The sequence below is a fragment of the Homo sapiens genome, chromosome 17 (genome assembly GCF_000001405.40).
Source record: "Homo sapiens chromosome 17, GRCh38.p14 Primary Assembly".
NCBI lineage: Eukaryota > Metazoa > Chordata > Mammalia > Primates > Hominidae > Homo > Homo sapiens.
Window position 1 is genome coordinate 19,921,001 of NC_000017.11, and position 25,509 is coordinate 19,946,509.

At 39.4% G+C, this 25,509-nt stretch overlaps 1 protein-coding gene across 5 annotated transcripts in view; it reads right to left on the bottom strand.

Moving 5' to 3' along the window:
• The window catches only part of AKAP10 (A-kinase anchoring protein 10), a 73,527-nt gene that overhangs the window by 16,699 nt on the left and 31,319 nt on the right, over positions 1–25,509 (bottom strand). The window contains exons 6-11 of one of the 5 annotated variants that reach the window (NM_007202.4): positions 20,826–20,910; positions 19,887–20,010; positions 18,713–18,849; positions 15,286–15,430; positions 10,805–10,978; positions 3,408–3,517 (exon numbers count right to left, since the gene is read on the bottom strand). In NM_007202.4, coding sequence (NP_009133.2) covers positions 3,408–3,517; positions 10,805–10,978; positions 15,286–15,430; positions 18,713–18,849; positions 19,887–20,010; positions 20,826–20,910 — 775 coding nt within the window. Of the gene's footprint in view, positions 1–3,407; positions 3,518–10,804; positions 10,979–15,285; positions 15,431–18,629; positions 18,850–19,886; positions 20,011–20,825; positions 20,911–25,509 lie in introns of those variants that run through there. The other 4 variants (XR_007065258.1, NM_001330152.2, XM_047435219.1 and 1 more) reach the window with 4 other exon arrangements.

The window sequence follows — 25,509 nt, forward strand, 5'->3', positions numbered from 1 at the left end:
ATACAGAATTTTAACAAGTCACTAATAAAATCACCCAACAGAAATAATGTGAAAAAGAGATGAACAGTCAATTCATAAAAGAAAAAACCTGAACAATCAAGAGACATACCAAAAGAAACTCAATCTCATTAGCAAACACTTAAGACTGGAAAAAAAATTAAGTCTGAAGTATTCTTTTTTTTTTTTGAGACAGAGTCTCACTCTGTTGCTAGGCTGGAGTGCAGTGGTGTGATCTAAGTTCACTGCAACCTCCACCTCCCGGGTTCAAGTGATTCTCCTGTCTCAGCCTCTCGAGTAGCTGGGACTACGGGTGCGCCACCACGCCCAGCTAATTTTTGTATTTTTAGTAGAGACAGGGTTTCACCATATTGGCCAGGGTGGTCTCGATCTCTTGATCTGCCCGCCTCGGCCTCCCAAAGTGCTGGGATTACAGGCGTGAGCCACTGTGTCCAGCCAAAAGTATGAAGTATTCTTATTAAAGACTGGTGAGAACATAAAATGATGCAGATACTTTACAAAGTAAATTGTAAGAGCTATCAAAATTTAAAATGTAGGCCAGGCATGGTGGCTCATGCCTGTAACCCCAGCACTTTGGGAGGCCAAGATGGAAGGATTGCTTGAGCCTAGGAGTTTGAGACCAGCCTGGGCAACATAGTGAGACTTCATTTCATTTTTTTTCAAAAATTTTTTCAAAAAAAAATTTTTTAATCTGCCTCTTGGTACAAAGAAGCATATAAAAAGAGATCCTCTGTAATACTGGGTATAAGAGGGAAAAACTGCAAATGACTTAAATACTCATTGATACCAAAATGGCAAAACAGTAATACATACACTATGAGATGCTCTGCTACAGTGATGAGTTATAGTAAATATTACATACGGAATACTACAGTGTAGTTAAAATGAAGTAAGTCTGTATAGATGAACATAGGAATGTCCAAAACTCACTGTGAATGAAAGTACAACGTACAGAATGGAGCGTAATATCAATTACATAAAAATAAGCAAACAAAAGTGCATACCATAAGAATGATTACTGTGAGTAGGAAGGGAAGAAAATAAGCAATGGTACATGAACAAAGAGGACATTAAACTTAACTAGAAATTTAACCTTTTATAAGAATAATGCCAGGTGCGGTGGCTCATGTGTGTAATCCCAGCACTTTGGGAGGCTGAGGAAGGTGGATCACTTGACGTCAAGAATAATGCATTTATCAAGTCGGTTAAAAGAAAAATTCTGTGAACATCAATATATCAGTTTATTTTAGGCAAAGTGATCTTATTTTAGAGATATCTTCCTAATAAGTTATTTCATAGATGGGTACCAATATACCAACTGATACAAATTTACTTGCCTTGAGAAAAATTTCAGAAAGATGCTAAAATCATAAAACTAAAACATATATTAAAACCATCTTTATTTATTTATTTTTAGTAGAGACGGAGTTTCACCATGTCGGCCAGGCTGGTTTCGAACTCAAGTGAGCCGCCTGCCGAGGCCTCCCAAAGTGCTGGGATTACAAGTGTGAGCCACTGCGCCTGGTGAAGATAATCTTTCAAGATGAAGAAAAATTATCATTTCTCTTTTCTGCTTCATTTTATACATTTAAAAAATACATGCTGGGTGTGGTGGCTCATGCCTGTAATAGCAACACTTTGGGAAGCCAAGGCGGGTGGATCACGAGGTCAGGAGATTGAGACCATCCTGGCTAACACGGTGAAACCCCATCTCTACTAAAAATACAAAAAATTAGCCGGGCGTGGTGGCACGTGCCTGTAGTCCCAGCTACTTGGGAGGATGAGGCAGAAGAAACGCTTGAACCTGGGAGACAGAGGTTGCAGAGAGCTGAGATTGCACCACTGCATTCCAGCCTGAGCAACAGAGCGAGACTCCGTCTCAAAAAACCAAAACAAAACAAAAACATATATATTTACATTATACATACACACAATTACAGAAGTGAAAAATCACGCAATTGATAGACTTTATGTAAGGTCTTAAATAAATGAACCATCCCTTAAGAATAACATCATCTTTGGGAATGAACTCATTTAGGTTTACTGTCCATTCTTTTTTATTTTATTATTATTTTTTGAGACAGAGTCTTACTCTGTCGCGCAGGCTGCAGTGCAATGGTGTGATCTTGGCTCACTGCAACCTCCGCCTCCCGGGTTCAAGCAATTCTCCTGCCTCAGCCTCCGGAGTAGCTGGGACTACAGGCACACGCCACCACGCCCGGCTAACTTTTTGTATTTTAGTAGAGACGGGGTTTCACCATGTTGCCCAGGCTGGTCTCGAACTCCTGAGATCAGGTAATCCGCCCGTCTCGGCCTCCCAAAGTGGTGGGATTACAGGCGTGAGCCACCGTGCCCGGCCTTGTCCGTTATTTTCTAAAAGAAGAACTAAAAATCACTACACAAAGCTGACACAGCTGAAAAAGCTGGCTTTCCAAATACAATGTGGTCAAACAAACCTTTTACTTCCTTCAAGTACTTTCTAGGCTCCTCAGTCTCCCAATACCACTGTTACTTTCTTTTTTTTTGAGACAAGAGTCTCGCTCCACTGCGCAGGCTGGAGTGCAGTGGCACAATCTAAGCTCACTGCAAGCTCCGCCTCCCGGGCTCACGCCATTCTCCTGTCTCAGCCTCCCAAGTAGCTGGGACTACAGGTGCCTGCCACCATGCCCGGCTAATTTTTTGTATTTTTAGTAGAGACGGGGTTTCATCGTGTTAGCCAGGATGGTCTCAATCTCCTGACCTCGTGATCCGCCCACCTCGGCCTCCCAAAGTGCTGGGATTACAGGTGTGAGCCACTGCGCCTGGCCTACCACTGTTACTTTCTACTGAAAGTAATTAAATATGTTGAAATCCCTTTTTCATGGTGCTGCTGGGAACTGGGGTACGGATCAGGGTAGTGTAATCAAGCCTTTACACACCTTTACATGTTAATCAAGCTATCTTTAGGGAAGAGAAAGTGATTTTATGATTGGATCTGTGGTAAATTTCAGTAAGTGGCATATCCTATGAATCACTATCTTTTTATTACAAGCTAAAATGAATAACCAACTTAATTCTTAAACTCAAAGGAATACTTTTTCCAAGTATCAGTTATGCAGCCCAGAGTAAATGATGTTGGCATCTTTTCACTTTATTATTCTCATTTTACAGATGAAGAAACTGAGATACCAAGAGGTTAGCGGCTGCCAATAAATGGCAGAGCCAAGATTAAAACCCAGGAAGTCACTCCAGAGCCTTTATACTTAACCACCACATTATACTGCACACTCTAAGTGAAAGTTCTGGGCATATAATAATAGATTAGAAAAAAATGTAAAATTTAATTAAAAAATTTAAAAGATGCAAAGTTATTTACACTTGTAAAAATTCTAGGCATGAGCTAAGCTTACCCGGCATATGTCCGTTGATATAAAGATTCTGGATCCAGACTTGCCGCATCCACAATTATCGCTTCATCAAAATTTTTCAGTATTTTAATACTGGCTTTTTTCACACTGGACTACAATAGAAATTGTAAAATTAGAAGTATATGAAACAATCAGTCCTGGGCTTGGAATGTGACAGATTTGTACAAAATTTTCTTCAGTGTTTGAAATAGAAGTAACTTTCACTCAACCTCATCACTATTAAGATGCTTAACAACAATGACTCTGAAATGTAACCTCATACTATAGCTAAAAGAGGAAAGCACAATATTAAAATGTACATGCCGGGCACAGTGACTGAAGCCTATAATTCCTAGGTTGAAGTGCAATGGCGCGATCACAACTCACTGCAGCCTCACCCTCCTGGGCTCCAGGACTCCTCCCACCTCAGTCTCAGAAAGTGCTGGGATTACAGGTATGAGCCACCATGCAGCCCTCAATATTCATCTTTTACCCAATACAAGGATCCCAGCACTTTGGGAGGCTGAGGCAGGCCGATCACTTGAGGCCAAGAGTTCGAGGCCAGCATGGTCAATATGGTGAAACCCAGTTTCTACTAAAAATAAAAAAATTAGCCGGGCATGGTGGTGCATGCCTGTAACCATAGCTACTCTGGAGGCTGAGACATGAGAATCACTTGAGCCCAGGAGATGGAGGTCGCAGTGAGCCAAGATTGTACCACTGCACGCTGGCCTGGGCGACAGAGGAAGACTCTGTATCAAAAACTAAAAAATAAAATAAAATAAAATGTATAATGTATGAATTTATAAGACATTCTTAACGACCTAAGTTCCAACAAATGTGCTGTACTCACAGCATTATTTCTTCAATATGAAAAGCTGTCATACATCCAGAAATATGTATCTTGGGTAGTAAAGCCCCATGTTTACAGGGTAAATAGGAATGTTTTTGATTCTTGGTGAGGCCATATGACAAAAAGAAGCTAAGGAAACCTTTCTAAAATGACTAGCCAGCTGAGTACAGCAAGTTCTCCTCCAGCATTCTACCTCCTACTCCCCACCTCCACAAGAAAAACCAGAATTGGTATTTTTGTGAAATACAGAGCCATAGGTTGACCTAGAAATTCCACTTCTAAAAATTCAGTTACAGAGAGACTTATATTGATGGAAAATGACTTATATACAAGATTATTCACTGCAGCATTGTTTAAAATAAAAGACATAAACAAGCTTAATGTCCCCGACTAAGTAATAGGTTAAGTAAATAAAATAATTGAACAGACACTTATAGACCTCTCTATAGCAGGGGTGGGAGGGTAGGGAAAGCGGCTCTCATGTGTTGAGAAGGAACAATCTCCAAGATACACAGTTAAACAAAAAAGAAAGAGGGACCAGAATAAAGAGGGAATATTTCCCAACTAATTCTATGAGGACTGTTACTCAGATACCAAAATCTCATTTATACTTTCTGATTTCAAAACTTATTACAAAGCAATAGTAATCAAGAGAGTATGGTACTGGCATAAAGACAGACATACAGACGGATGTATGTCTATCTTTGGAATGGAAGAGAATCAAGAACCCACAAATACACTCTCACATTTATGGTCAATTCATTTCTGATAGAGTGTAAATGTTATCTTAAGCGTTCAGATACAAAATCTTCAACAAAATACCAGTAAATGGAATCCAGCAGCATATTGAAAAGATTATACACCATGACCAAGTGAGATTCATCTCAGGTATGCAAGGTTGGTTTAACATCTGAAAATCAATTAATATTTCACATCAACAGAATAAAACCCAAAATCCATAGGATCATTTATACTGATACAGAAAGAACATGACAATATTCAACACCCTTTCATGATTTAAAAAAAAAAAAAAGCCTTAAAAAATCAGGAATGATAGGGAAATTCCTGAATCTGAAAAAAGGCATTTATTGAAAACCCACACCTAACATCATATTAAATGATGAAACTGAAAGCTTTCCCTGTCAGATAGGAAACAAGACAAAGATTTTTGCTTCTGCCACTTCTACTCATCATTGCTCTGTAAGTTCTAGCCAGAAAAAAAACTATCTCTATCCATAAATGACATGATCTTATATATTGAAAATCCTAAAGAATCCACAAGAAAACTATTAGAGCTAACAATCAGATTTATCAAAGTTGAAGTTGCAAGATCAACATGTAAAAATCACTTGTATTTCTATGCTCTCTCATCAAACAATCTGAAAATGAAATTAAGAAAACAATTCTATTTATAATGGAATCGAAAAGAACTTAAAACATAGGAATAAATGACCCAAGGAGGTGAAAGGCTTCTACTCTGAAAACTACAAAATTCTGCTGAAATGAAAGAACACATAAATACATGAAGATACATCCATGTTCACAAATTAGAAGACAATACTGTTAAGAAGGCAATATTTTGGCCGGGTGCAGTGGCTCACGCCTGTAATCCCAGCACTTTGGGAGGCCATGGCAGGTGAATCACCTGAGGTCAGGAGTTCAAGACCAGCCGGGTGAACATGGTGAAACACTGTCTCTACTAAAAATGCAAAAAAATTAGCCAGGCATGGTGGTGGGTGCCTGTAATCCCAGCTACTCGGGAGGCTGAAGCAGGAAGACACTATTAATAGTGAAAAGACAGGTTGCGTGTGGCTCACACCTGTAATCCCAGCACTCTGGGAGGCAGAGGTGGGAGAATCACTTTGAGCCTAGAGTTTGAGACCAACTTGGGCAACACAGTAAGATCTGTCTCTACAAACAGAAAAAAAAAGCTGGGTGTGATAGTGTGTATCTATGGCCCTAGCTATTCAGGAGGCTGAAGTAAGAGGATCACTTCGGCCCAGGAAGTTGAGGTGGCAGTGAGCTGTGATTGTGCCACTGCACTCCAGCCTGGGCAGCAGAATGAGACCTTATCTTAAAAAAACAAACAAACAAACAAACAAAAACCCACCTTTTTTAAAAGGTAGAGGAAAGACAACTCACAGAATGAAGAAAATACCTGGAAATAATATAATTTGATAAGGGACATTTATCTAGAATATATAAAGGACTCCTGAAACTCAATATAAAAAGGCAATCTAATTTAAAAATGGGCAAAGGGGCTGAGCAAGGTGGCTCACGCCTGTACTCCCCACACTTTGGGAGGCCAAGGCAGGAGGATCACTTGAACCCAGGAGTTTGAGACCAGCCTGGGCAATATAATGAGAAAATTGGCTGGGCCTGGTAGCTCATGCCGGTAATCCCAGCACTTCGGGAGGCCAAGGCAGGTGGATCACCTGAGGTCAGGAGTTGAGACCAGCCTGGCCAACATGGTGAAACCCTGTCTCTAAAAAAAATACAAAAGTTAGCTGGGTGTGGTGGTAGGCACCTGTAATCCCAGCTACTGGGGAGGCTGAGGCAGGAAAATCGCTTGAACCCAGGAGGCAGAGGTTGCAGTGAGCCAAGATTGTGCCATTGCACTCCAGCCTGGGCAACAAGAGCAAGACTCCTTCTCAAAAAAAAAAAGAAAAAAGAAAATCTAGGCTGGGCCCAATGGCTCACGCCTGTAATCCCAGCACTTTGGGAAGCCTAGGCAGGCAGATCACCTGAGGTCAGGAGTTTGTGACCAGCCTGGCTAACATGGTGAAACCCTGTCACTAGTAAAAATACAAAAATCAGCCCGGCATGCTGGCAGGTGCCTGAAATGTAATCCCAGCTACTCGGGAGGCTGAGGCAGGAGAATCACTTGAACACAGGAGGCGGAGGTTGCAGTGAGCTGAGACCACACCATTGTACTCCAGCCTGGCTGACAGAGTGAGACTTGGTCTCAAAAAAAAATAAATAAATAAAAATAAAAATAAAAATGGCCAAAGGATTTGAATAAACATTTTTCCAAAGCTAGAACAAAGGCCAATAAGCAAATGAAAAGATGCTCAACATCATTACTCATCAGAGAAGTGCAAAAACCACACTGAAGTAGAACTTATTGGAATGACTATCATTTTTAAAAACAGCCAAACAGATAATAAGTTCCAATGAAATGTGGAGAAGCTGTAAAACTCATACACTGCTGGTGGGATTGCAAAATGGTGCAGCCTTTTCGGAAAACAATCTGGCAGTTTTTCAATAAGTTTAAGAGTTACCTCTTGACTCAGCAATTCTACTCCTATGTATATACAACAAAAGAAATGAAAACCACAGCCGGGCATAGTGGCTCACCCCTGTAATCCCAGCACTTTGGGAGGCCGAGATGGGTGGATCACTTGAGGTCAAGAGTTCGAGACCAGACTGGCCAACATGGTGAAACCCCATCTCTACTAAAAAATTAGCTGGGCGTGGTGGTGCGTGCCTATAGTCCCAGATACTCGGGAGGCTGAGGCAGGAGAACTGCTTGAACCCAGGAGACAGAGGTTGCAGTGAGCCGAGATTGTGCCACTGCACTCCAGCCTGGGCGACAGAGCAAGACTCCACCTCAAATTTAAAAACAAAAAGAAAACCTGTATCCACACAAAAACTTGTACACAAATGGTCACAGTAGCATTATTGATAAATGGCAGAAAGGAGGGTACAATTCAAATAAAATGTCATAAATCCTTGCAATGGGATATTTGGCCATAATGAGGAATAAAATTCTGATACATGCCAAACATGGATAACATGATGCTCTTTTGAACACATGATGCTAAGTGAAAGACAGTTGGCAACAAAAGACCACATAATATACGGTTCCATGTTTATGAAATGTCCAGAATAAGCAAATCTATTGTCTCTATAGAGATAAAAAGTAGACTAGTGGCTGCCTAGGGCTGGTGGAGTGGGGGATTTGGAGTTTAAGTAAAGGGGGTTTCTATCTGGAGTGAAAAAAATGTTCTAAAATCGATGTGGTAATGGTTACCTAACTCTGTGACCATATAAAAACCACTGAATTGTATGATGTAAATGTGAATTAGCACAATAAAGCTGTACAAGAAAAGAATACACAGTATGGTTTTATTTATAAAATGACAAGAACAGGTAATGCTAATCTATGCCATCAAAAGTCAGGATAGTAGCTACCCTGGTGACAAGAAGGACAGTGAATGGAAGGGGCCCAAGAGGGCTTCTAGAGGGGCTGATAATGCTGTTTTTGATCTGGATGCTGGGTCACATGGGTTAGTTCTGCTTGTGAACATTCTTCAAGGTGTCTAAGGTTATGATAAGTGCAGTTTTCTATATATATAGTATCAACAAAAGGTATAAAAATATATTTTATGGTTAGTACCTAGGCCTTTCTTAAGTGCCTAATCAAAAACAAGACATTCAGCCAGGTGCAGTGGCTCATGCCTGCAATCCCAGCACTTTGGGAGGCCGAGGCAGGTGGATCATGAGGTCAGCAGTTCAATACCAGCCTGACCAACATGGTGAAACCCCTTCTCTACTAAAAACACAAAAATTAGCCAGGTGTGGTTGCACATGCCTGTAATCCCAGCTACTCAGGAAGCTGAGGCAGGAGAATTGCTTGAACCCGGGAGGTGGAGGTTGCAGTGAGCCACGATCGTGCCATTGCACTCCAGCCTGGGCGACAGAGCAAGATGCTGTCTCAAACAATGACAACAACAAAAACCAAAAAAAAAAAAAAAAAAAACCAAGACATTCTAACCTATATCAAAAAACCAAAATGGCAACCATACTCAGCAGTTTATCTCCTAGGTAAACTTAACAGAAGAAAAAGATACTCAGGAGAGCTTTGTAAATGGCAATACGATAATACTCTCTTACAAATTAGGAAAATTTATCCAAGGCCCAGTATTGAAAATTCAAAGGGTTATTTATTTGTCAACAGTAATTAGAAAATTATTATGCTACATTAAGCTGATGGTGAAGAACACTAGAAGGGGAATATTTCTGGCTCTATCATTTACTGTGTGAGTTTAATAAAACCAGTTAACTTCTTTATGCCTCCTTAGATTTCTTGTCTTAGGATATTCTACTTTGTGTGATTTTGAGGAGAATCAGGTATGGTTTAACATATGAAAGCACTCCAAAAAACCCAAAAAAGGTCAAGGAAATGCACAATGTGGCACGGTAATGCAAAACGAAATCAAAAGGCCTTGAGTGAAACACAACATTATAGGTAGTGGTTCACGCCTGTAATCCCAGCACTTTGAGAGGCCAAGGTGGGAGGACTGCTTGAAGCCAGGAGTTTGAGACTACCCTGGCCAACATAGCAAGACCCTGTCTCTTTACAAAAAAAAAAGAAACTTAGGCTGAAGCAGGCGGCATTTGAGGTCAGGGGTTCAAGACCAGCCTGAGCAACACAGCAAGACTCCATCATTTAAAAAAAAAATTTTTTTTGAGATGGAGTCTCACTCTGTCACCATGCAGGAGTGCAGTGGCGTGATCTCGGCTCACTGCAACCTCCGACTCCCTGGTTGAAGCCATTCTCCTGCCTCAGCCTCCCAAGTAGCTGGGATTACAGGCATGAGCCACCATAACCAGCTAATTTTTGTATTTTTAGTAGAGACGGGGTTTCACCACGTTGGCCAGGCTGGTCTCCATCTCCCGACCTCGTGATCTGCCTGCCTCGGTCTCCCAAAGTGCTGGGATTACAGGCGTGAACCATCATGCCTGGCCAAAAAAAAATTTCAAATTAGCCAGGCGTGGTGGTGCATGCCTCTAGTCCCAGCTATTCAGGAGGCTGTGGTGGGTGGATTATTTGAGCCCAGAATTTCCAGGTTGCAGCGAGGAGACCCTGTCTCAAGAAAAGAAAAAAAAAGGAGACCTAAGAATTCATTCACTTATTTTACAAAAAGTATCCTAAATAAATACTTACATAAAGAGCTCTTCAGAGGCTATGAATATATTCCATATTACTTGATTTATTAAGAGAAACAGCCACAGATTCAAATAGAATAATGGCCTAAATGAAACAGCATGATACTTTACAATACAGTATATTTTAAGTTACCACAAATGCTTTGATTAGAAGATAGTAAGTAGGCTAATTTTATTTCTCTCTTTTTTTTTTTTTTTTGAGACACAGTCTCACTTTGTCACCCAGGCTGGAGTGCAGTGGCGTGATTTTGGTTCATTGCAACCTCTGCCTCCTGGGTTCAAGCGATTCTCCTGCCTCAGCCTCCCAAGTAGCTAGGATTACAGGTGCCTGCCACCATGCCCGGCTAATTTTTGTATTTTTAGTAGAGATGGGGTTTCACCATGTCGGCCAGGCTGGTCTCGAATTCCTGACCTCGTGTGATCCGCCCACCGCAGCCTCCCAAAGTGCTGGGATTACAGGCACAGGCCACTGTGCCTGGCTTTTATCTTTTTTTTCCACAACTTAAAATTTACAAATAATAGGATCTGTTACTGGGATGTGAAGGAAAGGATGTGTATGCTTTTCTCCCTAATGGCAGACGCAATCAGTCAATACCTGAGACGCAGAGCTGTCAGAACTCCCTGGGTGAGACTCATCAGGAGGGCCAACAGAGCCAGGAGCAGTCAGCGACACGTTCCCGCCCAGAAATTCATCTCCTCGAACCGAATGGATGAGATCATTCAAATATTTATAATAAAGATTGCTGGACAAAAAGCCAGGCAAAAAGACCTGATAGAGATGAAAAGCATTATTTTAAAGTTGAAATCAAATCCAACTAAAACTGTTTTAAATAAATAAATTTTACCTATAATTCTACTGGTTACAAATGTTAACTACCTATAACAAATGTTTTTACTTCTTGTTGTACTACAAGTATTATCCCTTTGTACAGTTTACAAATTAAAATTATAATGCATAAGGCTGGGTGCAGTGGCTTACACCTGTAATCTCAGCACTCTAGGAGGCCGAGGCAGACGGATCACTTGAGACCAGGAGTTCAAGACCAGCCTGGCCAACATGATGAAACCCCATCTCTACTAAAAACTATAAAAATTAGCTAGGCATGGTGGTGAGCGCCTGTAATCCCAGCTACTCGGGAGGCCTGAGGCAGGAGAATTGCTTGAACCTGGGAGATGGAGGTTGCAGTGAGCCGAGATTGCACCACTGCACTCCAGCCTGGACGCTGGAGCAAGACTGTCTAAAAAAAAAAAAAAAAAAAAAATTACAATGCATGTAATTTTGTTGGGTTTTCTCCCCCAAAATATTTGTCACGAAAGTATTACATAAAGTTGATATTAATACTTTTTAGCAGAAAATAGTCCATAGGATATAATTTGAAACTCGATTTTTCTGGTTTATGATAAATGTTAAAGTCTTTGTGCATATATTGATTTTACTTTCAAACTGATTTCCTTAAGATAACTCACCAGGCGTGTGATTGCTGAGTTAAATTTTAACTTTAATATATATGGTCACTTTACTCTTCAAAAGAACATTATCAATTTCAATCACTAGCAATATATCAAAATATCTGTTTCCACATTGTTTTTTTTTCAAATAATTCTTAAATAAATGCCTAATTGTACATAGATGTTTTTATTTACATTTAATAATTATTAATTATACTGAATGAGTTCTCATGTTTATTATTTATATTTCTAATTCTACGAAGGAAAAGTTTGTAACTGGACAAGCAAATAATAAACATGAGAACTTATTCAGTATAATTTGTAAATATTTATGTTCGTATTTAATACGTGCCTTTGTTGTTTGTTTTTGTTTTTTTGAGACGTATTTTCGCTTTTGTCCCCCGGGCTGGAATGCAGTGGCATGATCTCGACTCACTGGAACCTCTGTCTCCCAGGTTCAAGTGATTCTCCTGCCTCAGCCTCCCGAGTAGCTGGGATTACAGGTGTCCGCCACCACACCCAGTTAATTTTTGTATTTTTAGTAGAGACGGGGTTTCGCCATGTTGGCCAAGCTGGTCTTGAACTCCTGACCTCAGGTGATCCACCCGCCTCGATCTTCCAAAGTGCTAGGATTACAGGCGTGAGCCACCGTGCCCGGCCAATATGTACCTTTTTTGTAGACTAAGCTCCAGGATAGCAGAAACACATTTATTTTGTTTACCACTGTAACACTACCATCTAGCACAGAAATACTCAAAGTTTTTGTTGAATGAATCATTCATGTCTTTTTTCCTACCTAACTACCAGGGTCTTGACAGTGTTCTTAAAATTAGTCTAAGTTCCTTACATACACACATCTAGTAAGAACTATTTTTGCATTTTTCTCTCTGCATTTTAATTTTATTACCCTGAAAATTTACATTCTTTATATGATACAGATCTGAACTTTTCCTTTAAAATCAGAAAAGGTTTAATTTTAATCGTGAAAATATTATCATCATTGGGTAACAGCTGACACTCTATTCTGTTTACTACTAGCTATTTAATGATTTGACTTCTATATGTCATTCTTCAGTATTCCTAAAATTCAGTTTTTATGTATGGTATTATATAATAGCGTTTAATTAAGTTTTTTCACCTGGATACACATGACACATACAAGCAACATAACCTCACTGGCTCTGAAATTCCTGGAAAAATCTCCTCTAGTTCATTAGAAGAATAAATCATTCACAAACATCAATACTTTACTTTTATTTATTTATTATAATTATATTTTTGAGACGGAGTTTTGCTCTTGTTGCCCAGGCTGGAGTGCAATGGTGCGATCTCAGCTCACTGCAACCTCTGCCTCCCGGGTTCAAGAGATTTTCCTGCCTCAGCCTCCTAAGTAGCTGGGATTACAGGCATGCACCACCACGCCCGGCTAATTTTGTATTTTTAGTAGAGATGGGGTTTCTCCATGTTGGTCAGGCTGGTCTCAAACTCCTGACCTCAGGTGATCCACCCACCTCGGCCTCCCAAAGTGCTGGGATTACAGATGTGAGTCGCCGTGCCTAGCCAACGCTTTATTATTAATAAGCTATTAATAATACCTTGTGATCATAATACCCAAAACTAGGGTTCCAATCCTGTTGACAGTTACTGGTGATATATGTGGATCATTTCTAAGCTAACGTTGCGGCATAATGCCTTCTTTAATTGTTCAAGACAGGGTCTTGCTCTGTCACCAAGGCTGGAGTGCAGGGGCATGAACACGGCTCACTGCAGCCTTTAATTCCCAGGCTCATGCAATCCTCCAGCTTCAGCCTCCTGAGTAGCTGGAACTATAGGTGCATGCCACTACGCCCAGCTAATTTTTGATACTGCTCTCTAATTATTTAAAAATACGTAATAATAATAGTAATAAAAGTAGTTAACATTTTTTGATGCTTACCATGTGTCAGGTACTATGTTAATATGTATTTTATATACATTACCTTACTTTAATCATCAAAGTAACTTTGAGGTAAACGTGCATATTATCGTCACTTTACAGATAAGGAAAATGGCATTAGAGAATTTCAGTTACTGCCCAGGCATGGTAGCTCATGCCTGTAATCCCAGCACTTTCGGAGGCCAAAGCAGGCAGATCACTTAAGGTCAGGAGTTCGAGAACAGCCTGGCCAAAATGGTGAAACCCTGTCTCTACTAAAATACAAAAATTAGCCAGGTATGGTGGTGCCTGCCTGTAATCCCAGCTACTTGGGAGGATGAGGCAGGATAATTGGTTGAACCTGGGAGGCAGAAGTTGCAGTGTGCCAAGACTGTGCAACTGCACTCCAGCCTGGACAATGGAGTGAAACTCTGTCTCAATCAATCAATCAATCAATCAATCAATAAACAGAATTTCCGTTAGGCTGCTTGCCATTGTGCTAACATCACAGAGTGTACTTATACAAACCTAGATGGTATGGCCTACTACACCCCTTGGCTATATGGTACAACCTATTGCTTTTGGGCTACAAACCTGTATCACATGTTACTATAATGAATATCGTAGGCCACTATTGCAATGGTAAGAATTTGTGTATTTAAACACAAATACAGAAAAGGCACAGTAAAAATACAGTATAAAAGATAAAAAATGGTACATCTGTATAGGGCACTTACCATGAATGGAGCTTGCAAGACTGGAAGTTGCTCTGGGTGAGTCAGCGAGTGAGTGGTAAGTGAATGTGAAGGCCTAGCACATTATTGTACACTACTGTAGACTTACACTGTACACTTAGGCTACACTAAATTTATTTAAAATTTTTTTCTTTAATAATAAATTAGCTTACTGTAACTTTTTAACTGTTTTACTTTTTTTAGCTTTTTGACTCTGTTGTCATAACAGCTTAAAACACAAACATATACAGCTGTACAAAAATATTTTCATTATATCCTTATTTTATAAGCTTTTTTCTATTTTTAATTTTTTTTTTCTTTTTAAATTTGTTTGTTAAAAACTAAGACAAACACCCACATTAGCCTAAGCCTACACAGGGTCAGGATCATCAATAACACTTTCTTTCACCTCCACATCTTGTCCCACTGGAAGGTCTTCAGGGGCAGTAACACGCATGGAGCCGTCATCTCCTTTGATAACAATGCCTCCTTCTGGAAACCTCCTGAAGGACCTGTCTGAAGCTGTTTTACAGTTAACTGTTTTCTTAGTAAGTAGAAGGAGCACTCTAAAATAATGATTAAAAGTATAGTACAGTAAATATGAGGCAACAGAGATTTTTCAGCTCCATTATAATTTTTTTTGTTTTGTTCTTGGTTATTCTTTTATCTTTTTAGTTTTTCTTTTTTCTTTTTTACTTATTAAAATTTATTTTTTCTAACTTTTGTTATTATTGCACTACCAGCTTTGATCCATTATAATCGTACAGGACCATCGTACACGCAGTCCACTGTTGACTAAAATGTTATGTGGCACGTGACTGTACATACCAGGCCAGACTCAAGGCCTCTGCTCTTAATCACTTTGCTGGACTGCTTCAATTTCCACTGTGCTATTCTGCTTGGTTTTCCCACCTTATATTTTATGAGTTCTACCAATAAAACTTCTTGTAGTTTGATACGTTTGAAGTTCTGGGTTACCTTCTCCATGGTTGTCCAGGCCTGACGTAATGGAGTTGTGAAACAGTTGGGGAGTGGCCCACCTTCCCTGCAGATATTGGATTCAATTTCTAATCGTACAACATCATCAAATCCAAGAGGATGTGTGGCTTGGAGGGAGAAGTACCTATGGTAAAAAGATATCCGAAGTAAAATCAAATTCCATAGCAAGTATAAGCAACTTTCAGCACCTCCTCCAGAGAATCTTATACAAGGCTACTTGATTGAGCCTGCAGGCCTAGAACTATAGAGCTATGTGATGACAGTGCTGATGTAACCTTTCTTTGTTCCCACTTCCCCAGAGATAGTTGGGTCAACTTGCTACCTTTCTATCTGCCTGCCAACCATCCTTAGTTCTTGACGGTGAACTCTACTGTTGTTTAAAAGCTGTAAGGATCAGACTACAACTGAGGCAAAGAAACTAACAATCACATATTTATGGGTACCTATTCTCTGTTGAGGACTTGATAGATAGAAAGGAATTTATAGGAAAGGAAGACATGGTCATTTTCCCTAAAAAGCGAGCTGAGAACTTGTATGCACAGAATAAAATAAGAACACATCATCATAACTACAAGGCATCAGGAGTAAACATGTACAAATTCAAAACAAAACAGCACTGAGGGGTGAGCTAGATGCATATGACCTATTTGGATAGAACAGGACTTACTGATGACTCGGTGTGGAAAGGGAGTAACCAATATTGATAACACAAAGATTTCTACCTTGATGGGGTATAATGCAGGTAATGTTTTGGTAAGCTGATTATGAAATGAATACCAAAAAAAGCATTAAATGCGAGAAAAAAAAAAAGGCTCTCTTCCAAGCACTCTAATGGTTTCTATGTCCTGACAGAAATACAAAGGTTGATAATGCATGATTATGATGATGCATATATATGATACAAAAACAAGCAGGCTGGGCACAGTGGCTCACGCCTATAATCCCAGCACTTTGGGAGGCAGTGGTGGGTGGATCACTTGAGGTCAGGAGTTCAAGACCGGCCTGGCCAACATGGTGAAACCCTGTCTCTACTAAAAATACAAAAATTAGCTGGGCGTGGTGGCCCCCACCTGTAATCCCAGCTACTCAGGAGGCTGAGGCAGGAGAACCGCTTGAACCCAGGAGGTGGAGGTTGCAGTGAGCTGAGATCGTGTCACTGCACTCTAGCCTGGGTGACAGAGCAAGACTCCATCTCAAAAAATAAAAAAGAAGAAAAAAAAGAAAACTCTCCTTTTAAATCAGCATTTTTGTAACAAAATGTGAATCTCCTATGTTGTATTGAGTAAGTTGGTCAATACTCCTCCACGACTTGAATGTTCAGGCATTTTAGACCAAATTTCTAAATGTAAACTCTTCCTATCTCAACATCTATATAACAATGTTTCTTACGTAATACCTTCTACAAACATACTGTACCAGAATAAACACTGGACAGAACATTAAGAACTGCATTCCAGTCCAAATTCTGCCACTAACTTGTTCTGTGACTTTGAGAAAATCATTACCTCTCTGGGCCTTATTTTCCTTACTTGCAAAATAGGAAAATTAGACTACATCCCTAAACTGGCTATTTATCAGAATTATCTGGTATGTCTTCTAAAAATAAAGATTCCTGGTCACACCTCAAACCTGCAGAATCAGAATTTCTGAGACAGGGGGACTGGAAACCTTTTTTTTTTTTTTTTTTTTGAGATGCAGTCCTCTGCCTCCCGGGTTCAAGCAATTCTCCTGCCTCAGCCTCCCTAGTAGCTGGGATTATAGGCACCCGTCAAAATGCCCAGTTAATTTTTTGTAGTTTCTAGTAGAGACAAGGTTTCACTATGTTGGCCAGGCAGTTCTCAAACTCCTGACCTCAAGTGATCTGCCTGCCTTGGCCTCCCAAAGTGCTGGGATTACAGGTGTGAGCCACCGGTACCCAGACTGAAAACCTATTTTTTTTTTTTTTTCTGAGACAGAGTCTCCCTCTGTCAGCCAGCCTGGAGTGCAGTGGCATGATCTCCGCTCACTGCAACCTCCACCTCCCGGGCTCGAGCAATTCTCCTTCCTCAGCCTCCTGAGTAGCTGGGATTACAGGTGTGTGCCATCATGCCTGGCTAATTCTTGTATTTTTAGTAGAGACGGGGTTTTACCATGTTGGCCAGGCTGGTCTTGAACGCCTGACCTCAAGTAATCCGCCTGCCTCAGCCTCCCAAAGTGCTGGGATTATAGGCGTGAGCCACCGCAACCAGCCTGAAAACCTATTTTTAATAAGCTCTCAGGTGATTCCTATGCAGACAGCCCAGCAAGAGCCCACAGACTAATGTTCAGGAACCACTGGCCTAGATACTATTAGTGTCTTCAAACCCTAACATCTGTGGACTTTTCTCTATCCCCAAGTTACCCCTTTAGCATTTGCTTAAGGATACAAATAACAAATTACCTTTGTTGTTTTTTTTTTTTTTGGAGACAGGGTCTCACTCTACTGCCCTGCCCAGGGTGGAGTACAGTGGATCACAGCTCACTGCAGCCTCGACCTCCCAAGGCTCAGGTGATCCTTCTGCCTCAGGCCCCTAAGTAGCTAGGACAACAGGCGCACGCCATCACGCTCAGCTAATTTTTGTATTTTTAGTAAAGGCGGGTTTTGCCATGTTGCCCAGGCTGGTCTCAAATTCCTGGGCTCAAGCGATTCACCTGCCTCTGCCTCTCAAAGTGTTGTGATTACAGGAGTGAGCCACCGTGCCCGACCACGAATTACTTTTTTTACAGAGTAAGAAAAGTTAAATGAAAAGAATACCATACGTTACAGAGCTGGCCACAAGCTCATCATCTGCCTGACCAGATATTTTCAATTTTGTTTACTGTATGATGTTTCCATCCTCTCATTTTCAGTGAAAACTAATAAAAAACTAATTAACAACGTGCCTGAGCAGATTTATACAGAAAGTATAATATACCCATAAATAGGCATTCAAGGTCCCTTACAATCTATTCCAATTAGTACCAGCATCCTCATATTTATTCCCCACTCCTTTGATTATCTAAACTCAAGTTTCTTGAAAGTGCCACTTTCCCCTACGTTTCCATGGCTTCTGGGCCAATGCCTTTGCCTAGAATGTTGTTTTCTGCCTTCTCTGGGTAGCAAAATTCCCTTCTTTCTTTGGGATCCAAACAAAATCTCTCTTCTGGGAAACACTCCTTGAACACCACCATTGCCATCCTGTTTACCCCACATACACCTCCCCTTTCCCAGCAGAAACTTTTGTTCTAAGAACCCCCAAAGCTTTACAAACACCATATAAAAGCAGCTTTTATGCTGCCTCCTGTGAGCTCCTTGACAACAGAGACTGAGTTTATTCATCTTTATTTCCACAAAACATATCAAATGTTCAATAAGTATCTGCTGAATCCATCTATCAATATAACTCACTTGTCATATAAAATCATGGCATCATTCTGTGCCTCCTGTCCATCATATTGGCCCTTTTTGGCAGCAAGCTGAGACTGGAAGTTATCTGCTGCCAACCAGAATTGTAAGATATTCACTGCATCCTCTTTTTCCATGTACTAGGAAGAAAAAATACACAAGGGAAAATAAGACTATAAACAGATTTCTCTCACAATCTCTAATCTATAAGCTCAAATATTAAAATACAGGTCATAAGCAAAAAACAAAAAGATCTACTTCTTCTGTTAACACCTGTCAGCAAGTTACAGTCATTTGAGATTGAAAAGTTTTAAAGTATTCTTTTAGACGAAAAAAAAGTTAACAAGAAACAAACACTACCTACACAGCTGGATGCAAACTTTTAGTGAACTAGAGTAAAAATTATACTAAACTGGATTTGTGGTTCCTTGCCAGCAAACATATAAAGAGTAAACTAACCAAACCAAATATTTTATATCTGATCATTTCCACCATTCCATGAGGACATATTAACCTAAACAAATTGTTGATTTAAACTTATAGCAAAGAAAGGGAGTGAGAAAACAAATCAACTGAGTACCTGTATTCTTGTAAAGAGGCAGAATCGAGTGTCTAAATTACTGCTTTGTGAGACTGGGAATCCTCTTTCTACTTAATAGTCATTTGCTTTCCAACAAAATAATTTCACTTGTTGAAGCCTAACAAAGAGCATTATACTAAACTGTATGCCTCAAAAAGATTAATATACTCATTGTCTGTTGCAAATGCTTCTTCACTGGGCAATCCTATCAAGTGACTAAAGTAAAAATGATGAGCATAAGAAAAAATTTACTACTTTTTTTCTCTTCTGAAGTCTGGTCTGCAATTTATGCACTGGAAGCAAGTTTCAAATTCTGTGGTTTTAAAATAGCTCCAAATAATTAAAAACATGCACTCTCTTACATGCAGTAGTTTAATTAGGTTTCTCAAAATTAGAGTTATTTAATACATTGAATTTTCATGTTCTCTCTAATATATTATTAAATTACTCTTGCCATCAGAAACAACTTGAAACAATGATACATCTTTTTGGAAATGACTTGGCTCTTCTGTGTTATTTCCTATAGACAGGGCCCCAGCATTGATAGTTAGAGGCTGGAATGCTCGAATAGAGTGTGAAAAGAAATGCAGACTTTACCTCAGAGAAATAAAAGAGGGCTGACTCACAGAAGAGAATGTCAGCCAGGTAAACAGTTCCACTGGTCAGCACTTCAATCTGGTATTTACAGAAATGGTGACTTCGCAGAAACTCACTAAAGTGCCTGCACATGGACAAAAGGGAAAATTTGAGGGAACGACCAAGGAAAGAGTTTAAGTGGGAAAAATATACTCTTTCCATACTGTCCCTATTGTATCTTAAAGGCCTAGGTCAACACTACCTTACTCCCCATGGTGTCATTCCTGATTCCTTTACCTGTATGTAATCTCTCCCACCTTTTTATGACTTTGTAGTTCTCCCCTGACATTTAACACATGCCACTTCATATTACAGTAACCAAACAACATGCCCTATGTCTTTTATTAGGCTGTAACTTCCTTCAAGACTGGCACTATGCCTAACCACGTCTTACACAGAGCACTCTTCTGATAAATGTTAAGTGAAAGAATGAATAGATTTTTTTTAAGGGCACATAGCAGTAATAAATCTAAAAAACCTCTGGAGCCATTTCAACAAATCTATGTGGATTTAGTTATATAGCATCCATTTAGCTTAAAGCCTAACTAACAAATTAGGAGAGCCATCTGAAGACATGCATTATTTAAATAAATAAACCAATTCTAATAGTCATAATCACTACAGACTCAATCACTCCCCAAATTATTTCAGAACTAAAAACAAATTATTTTAACTTAGGAAATATTAACATTGAAAATGAAAATGAAAATTTTAAGAGTTCACATAATTTATATTTAAAAGAAACTGTTAACCAAGATAGAGTATGCTTTATATGATCTTGTAAATATCCAAAATATTTAAATTCTCAAAAATACTTTGTTTTTAGCTGAGTGAAGCCCATTCCTAACAATGAACCCAAATTCCCTAGGATGCACAATGTGAAAATATGAACTAACTTACTCTTGCTCCATTGCACTAAAGACTATGGACTGTGCCAAAACGAAACAGTTGGGATCCACCTGTCCATCTTCTCCACAAATCCTTGCTGCAAAAGAAGTTGTAAATAATTAAATTGCCACTAAATTCAAACTATGTATACACACTTGTGAATCAACTTGGGAGTTAACAGCACAGGCATATAAATTAAGAGGTTTTAAATAGAACTAAAAGAAAATACAGGTAACACTTGATCTTAAAATAGAAAGTCTTTTGAAGTACATATGCAAAAGCAGAAATCAAAAGATTTAACAACATAAAATTTAATTCCTATACATAGAAACCCTCCAAAAACAAAATACAAAGGCAAACAAACAGAAAAAAGATTTGCAGCATGCATGACAGTTAAAAGGTTACTATCATTAAAATACCAAGAGCTCTTATAAACTACTAAGAAATGTTCCAAAAGAAAAATGAGCAAAGGACATGACAATCCACAAAGGAACAAACATAAAATGACCAACGTGAAAAGACATACATACTCACTAGTAATCAAATAGATTAGAATAAGGAGGCACTACACCTTTTATCTAGTAAACTGGCCCAACATTGTTTTTAATAATATGTATACTTGAGCAAGGGCACAAGAAAACTAACACTAGTGTTAGTGGGGATACAAACACCTTTTTCTGAAGGCAATTTGGCAGTTTCTAGCATAACTTTAAAAATGAACATACCCTTTCAATGAGCAATTCTATTTCTGGGATTGTAACTTAAAAAATTATGGATTTGTGAAGTTATCTGTAAAAAAGTTTATTAAAATGTTATTGGTAGAAATTTTAAAACATGAAATGTGCTAAAATAAGGAACTGCTAAAATAAACTGCAGCGAAACAATTAGCTATTTAGCTAGCTGTTAAACATGGCTGGAAAAACCATATAACATGATGCCTAGTCTCACTTTGTGTTCATGACTTTAGTGGGACCTTCATGAAACCAAGGGATCATACTAGTGTCCTGGTCTGTTTACATTCACTTTCCTAGACAATACAAATCTGTGATACTGTGAAATATGTTATTTAGTCTTTGCCCAGTTTTTTTTTTTTCCTTTTTCTTCTGAGACAAGGTCTCACTTTGTCACCCAAGCCGGAGTCAGTGGCACGATCATGGCTCACTGCTGCCTTCAACTCCAGGGCTCAGTGATCCTCAGCCTTCTGAGTAGCTGAGACTACAGACAAGAGCTATTACGCCTGGCCAATTTTTAAATTTTTTGTAAGGGGGTCTCACTATGTTGACCAGGCTGGTTTTGATCTCATGGCCTGAAACGATCCTCCTGCCTCAGCCTCCCAAAGTGCTGGGATTACAGGCCTGAGACATTGCAACTGGCCTTTAGCCAGTTTCTTAGCATACAGCGCCTAAAATTCATGGAATCTCTGGATTCTTTTGAAGGCTAATGAGATGACTTGTGGCTGTGGCCTCTAAAGAGCTTTAGGATGAGGGCTAATCACCAGAAAGACCAAGGCAGAATTACACGTTTGGGACTTTCAGCCCTACCCACCAACCTCCCGGGATGAGGGGGCTGAAGGTTGAGCTGATCACCAATAGCCAATGATCAATCATGCCTATATAATGAAGTCTCCACAAAAAACCCAAAAGGACAGAATGGGGAGGGGGGCTTCTGAATAGCTAAATCTGTAGAGGTTCTTGGAGGGTGGCATGACCTGGAGAGTGCATGGAAGCTCTGTGCCCCTCTCCCATACCTTGCCCATGCATCTCTTCCATCTGCCTGTTCAATCTGTATCCTTTGTAATATCCTTTATAATAAATGGGTAAATATATGTAAAGCATTTCCCTGAGTTCTGAGAGCTGCTCTAGCAAATTTATTGAACCCAAGGAGGGGACTGTGGGAACTCCAATTTATAGAAGGTCAGTCAGAAGCACAGGCCACAACTTGTACTTGAGACTGGCATCTGAAGTGGAGGCAGTCTTGTGGGACAGAGTCCTCAATCTGTGGGATCTGATGCTATCTCCAGGTAAACAGTGTGAGAACTGAACTGACTTAGAGGACACCCAGTTGGTGTTCACTGAACAATCATCTGCAGAATTGGTAGCTGACAGGGAAAAAACCCCACACAACTAGAGTCATGGAAGGGTTCTGTTTTGTGAGAGTTCAGAAGGAGAAACTGAGTTTTTTTTTTTTCTACAGTACATCTCCTTTCTCAAATATTTAACACCTCTTCTATTCTCTTTGCTGAGGACTTTGCTTCCTGCTTCCTTGAGAATATAGAAGCAATCAGAAAATTATTTCCATCATCTCTCACATCTTTCAACTCACCTGCATCTCTACCCGTGTACTGCATTCTTTCCTGTGACTCTAGATAAATTGTCCTTGCTCCCATCTAAGCAATCTTCTATGTGAGCACTGGAATTCATCCCTTCTGCCTCCAGACTTCTTTCCTGTAACAACTGTCCCCTCTCCTACATCAACTTCTCCTTCACTACTGCCTCATTCCTATCAGCTGTGTGGACTGCATGTTTATATATATACCTGTTTGTATGCTATAACACACTTTATATGCTTATATATATGCCTGTAACCTCAGCACTTTGGGAGGCCAAGGTGAGTAGATCATGAGGTCAGGAGATGGAGACCATCCTGGCCAACACGGTGAAACCCCGTTTCTACTAAAATACAAAAAAAAAAATTAGCCAGGCGTGGTGGCGAGCGCCTGTAGTCCCAGCTACTTGGGAGGCTGAGGCAGGGGAATCGCTTGAACCCAGGAGGCGGAGGTTGCCGTGAGCCAAGATCACGCCACTGCACTCCAGCCTGGCGAGAGTGAGACTCCGTCTCAAAAACAAACAAACAAACAAACAAAAAATGCAGTCATGCTTTATTCCTTTTTTTCCCTCTCATACCACTCACTTCCAAACCATCAGCAAATTCTGTCAGCTGTACCTTCAAAGTTTTTAAAAATTCTACCACTTCAAACATTTGTGGAAGATGAAGGAGGTAGTGCAAGTATAGATTCTGGATCACTCTAAATCCTCACATAAAAACAGTAATTAGTTAGCAACACCAAAAATCCAAGGATTACATTTAAAACAAGACTATGCAAAGTGGGTACACAGTAAGAGCTAAAGTGAAGGCTCCTTTGAACAAAACTCACTTGAAGGACAGCTATATTAAAATAGTCCAACTGCAAGAGGAGACAAATAATTTGGACAGGATTAAGAATGGGGCTCAAGGAGGAAAAATGACTTGCCTAAAGCCACACAGGTAATTAACATCCTAAAATATATAATGATAGACACTGGGATAGAGGTTTTCTCAAATTCTTTGATCACAAAATGTTATCAACTTGATCCTTCAGAAGACTTTTCCTTCATGGGATTACATCATCATTAATTTGATTAAGCTTAAGTAAAAGAAAGAGAGTTGCAGTGTGGTTTCATTTTAAGTGTTTTATTTGACTTGAAACTGCTTCCTTTTTATCCACACGCCAGTCAGGCTATTAACTGGTACAGACTCCCCTCAAAAAAAAATCACTAGCCAACCAATTCTTCAAACAGGCAAACTCTAATCAGTCAGAACATCCCTGTTGTATTACTAGGAAAAGCTGGTCTAGGGATGATGATAGTAGCAAATTCCCACATAAAAATAGAGCAACAACACAGAAAACCTCAAATCTCATGACAACATCTGTCAGCAAAACTCAGTGAAACAGTACCCCTTAAATACAAGCAGATAGGGATAAGCCACCAACAGCCACCAGGCCTATGTTATAGCCGTTATAGGTATCTGTGTGGGAGAAAGAAAAGGAAAATGGAGCCAACATGACATGGACCCCAGAATAGCTAACTGGAAGGTACAGTGGGCCAATTTAAGAAACACAGCTGAGACTAACAGGGGTCTTGCTGTCCCCAGCAGTGAGTGAGTGCAAAGCACCCACACTAAGGATTAAAGAAGCCCAACATCGGGACAGATCTGCTAAAAGTGCAAGAACATGTCTTATTTCATAAATCACAAATACTAACTTTTTTGAAGAATAAAAATACATAATATTAGGACTTATGAGAATGTAATATTTATTGAATGAATAAATAACCTCTTTTATCTGTGAATATACGTTCACCTAAGGTCTTCCTGATAAAACACAGTAAAAGCTTTCAAACTATTTTGCTATAACCTATAAGAAATATATTTGTTGAATCAGCATACACATACATACATGTATATATAATGAAAACATTTTTCTGAAATGTTTGTCCTTACTACTCTGAGATACTTTGATTTTTTTATTCTAGTATATATATATATACACACACTAATATGTATATTATATATTAGTATATATACTAATATATAATATATACTATATATGCATATATACTAATACATATATTTTATATATATATATATTTTATATATATATATATTATATATATATATATATATATATATATATATATATATATTTTTTTTTTTTTTTTTTTTTTTTGGCAGGGGGTGAGGGCATAAGAGAAGGCTGGTCCCAACCTACAGTATGAAAAACACTGCCACAGCACAGCAGTTAAGGTATGTGAGGGTCTAGTTTCAAATCCTGACTCTGCCATATCTGAGCTGTTACCCTGGACAAAGCACTTAACTTCTCTGTGCTTCAGTTTCTTCATCTATAAAATAACTGTATTTATCCCACAAAGTTCTTTAG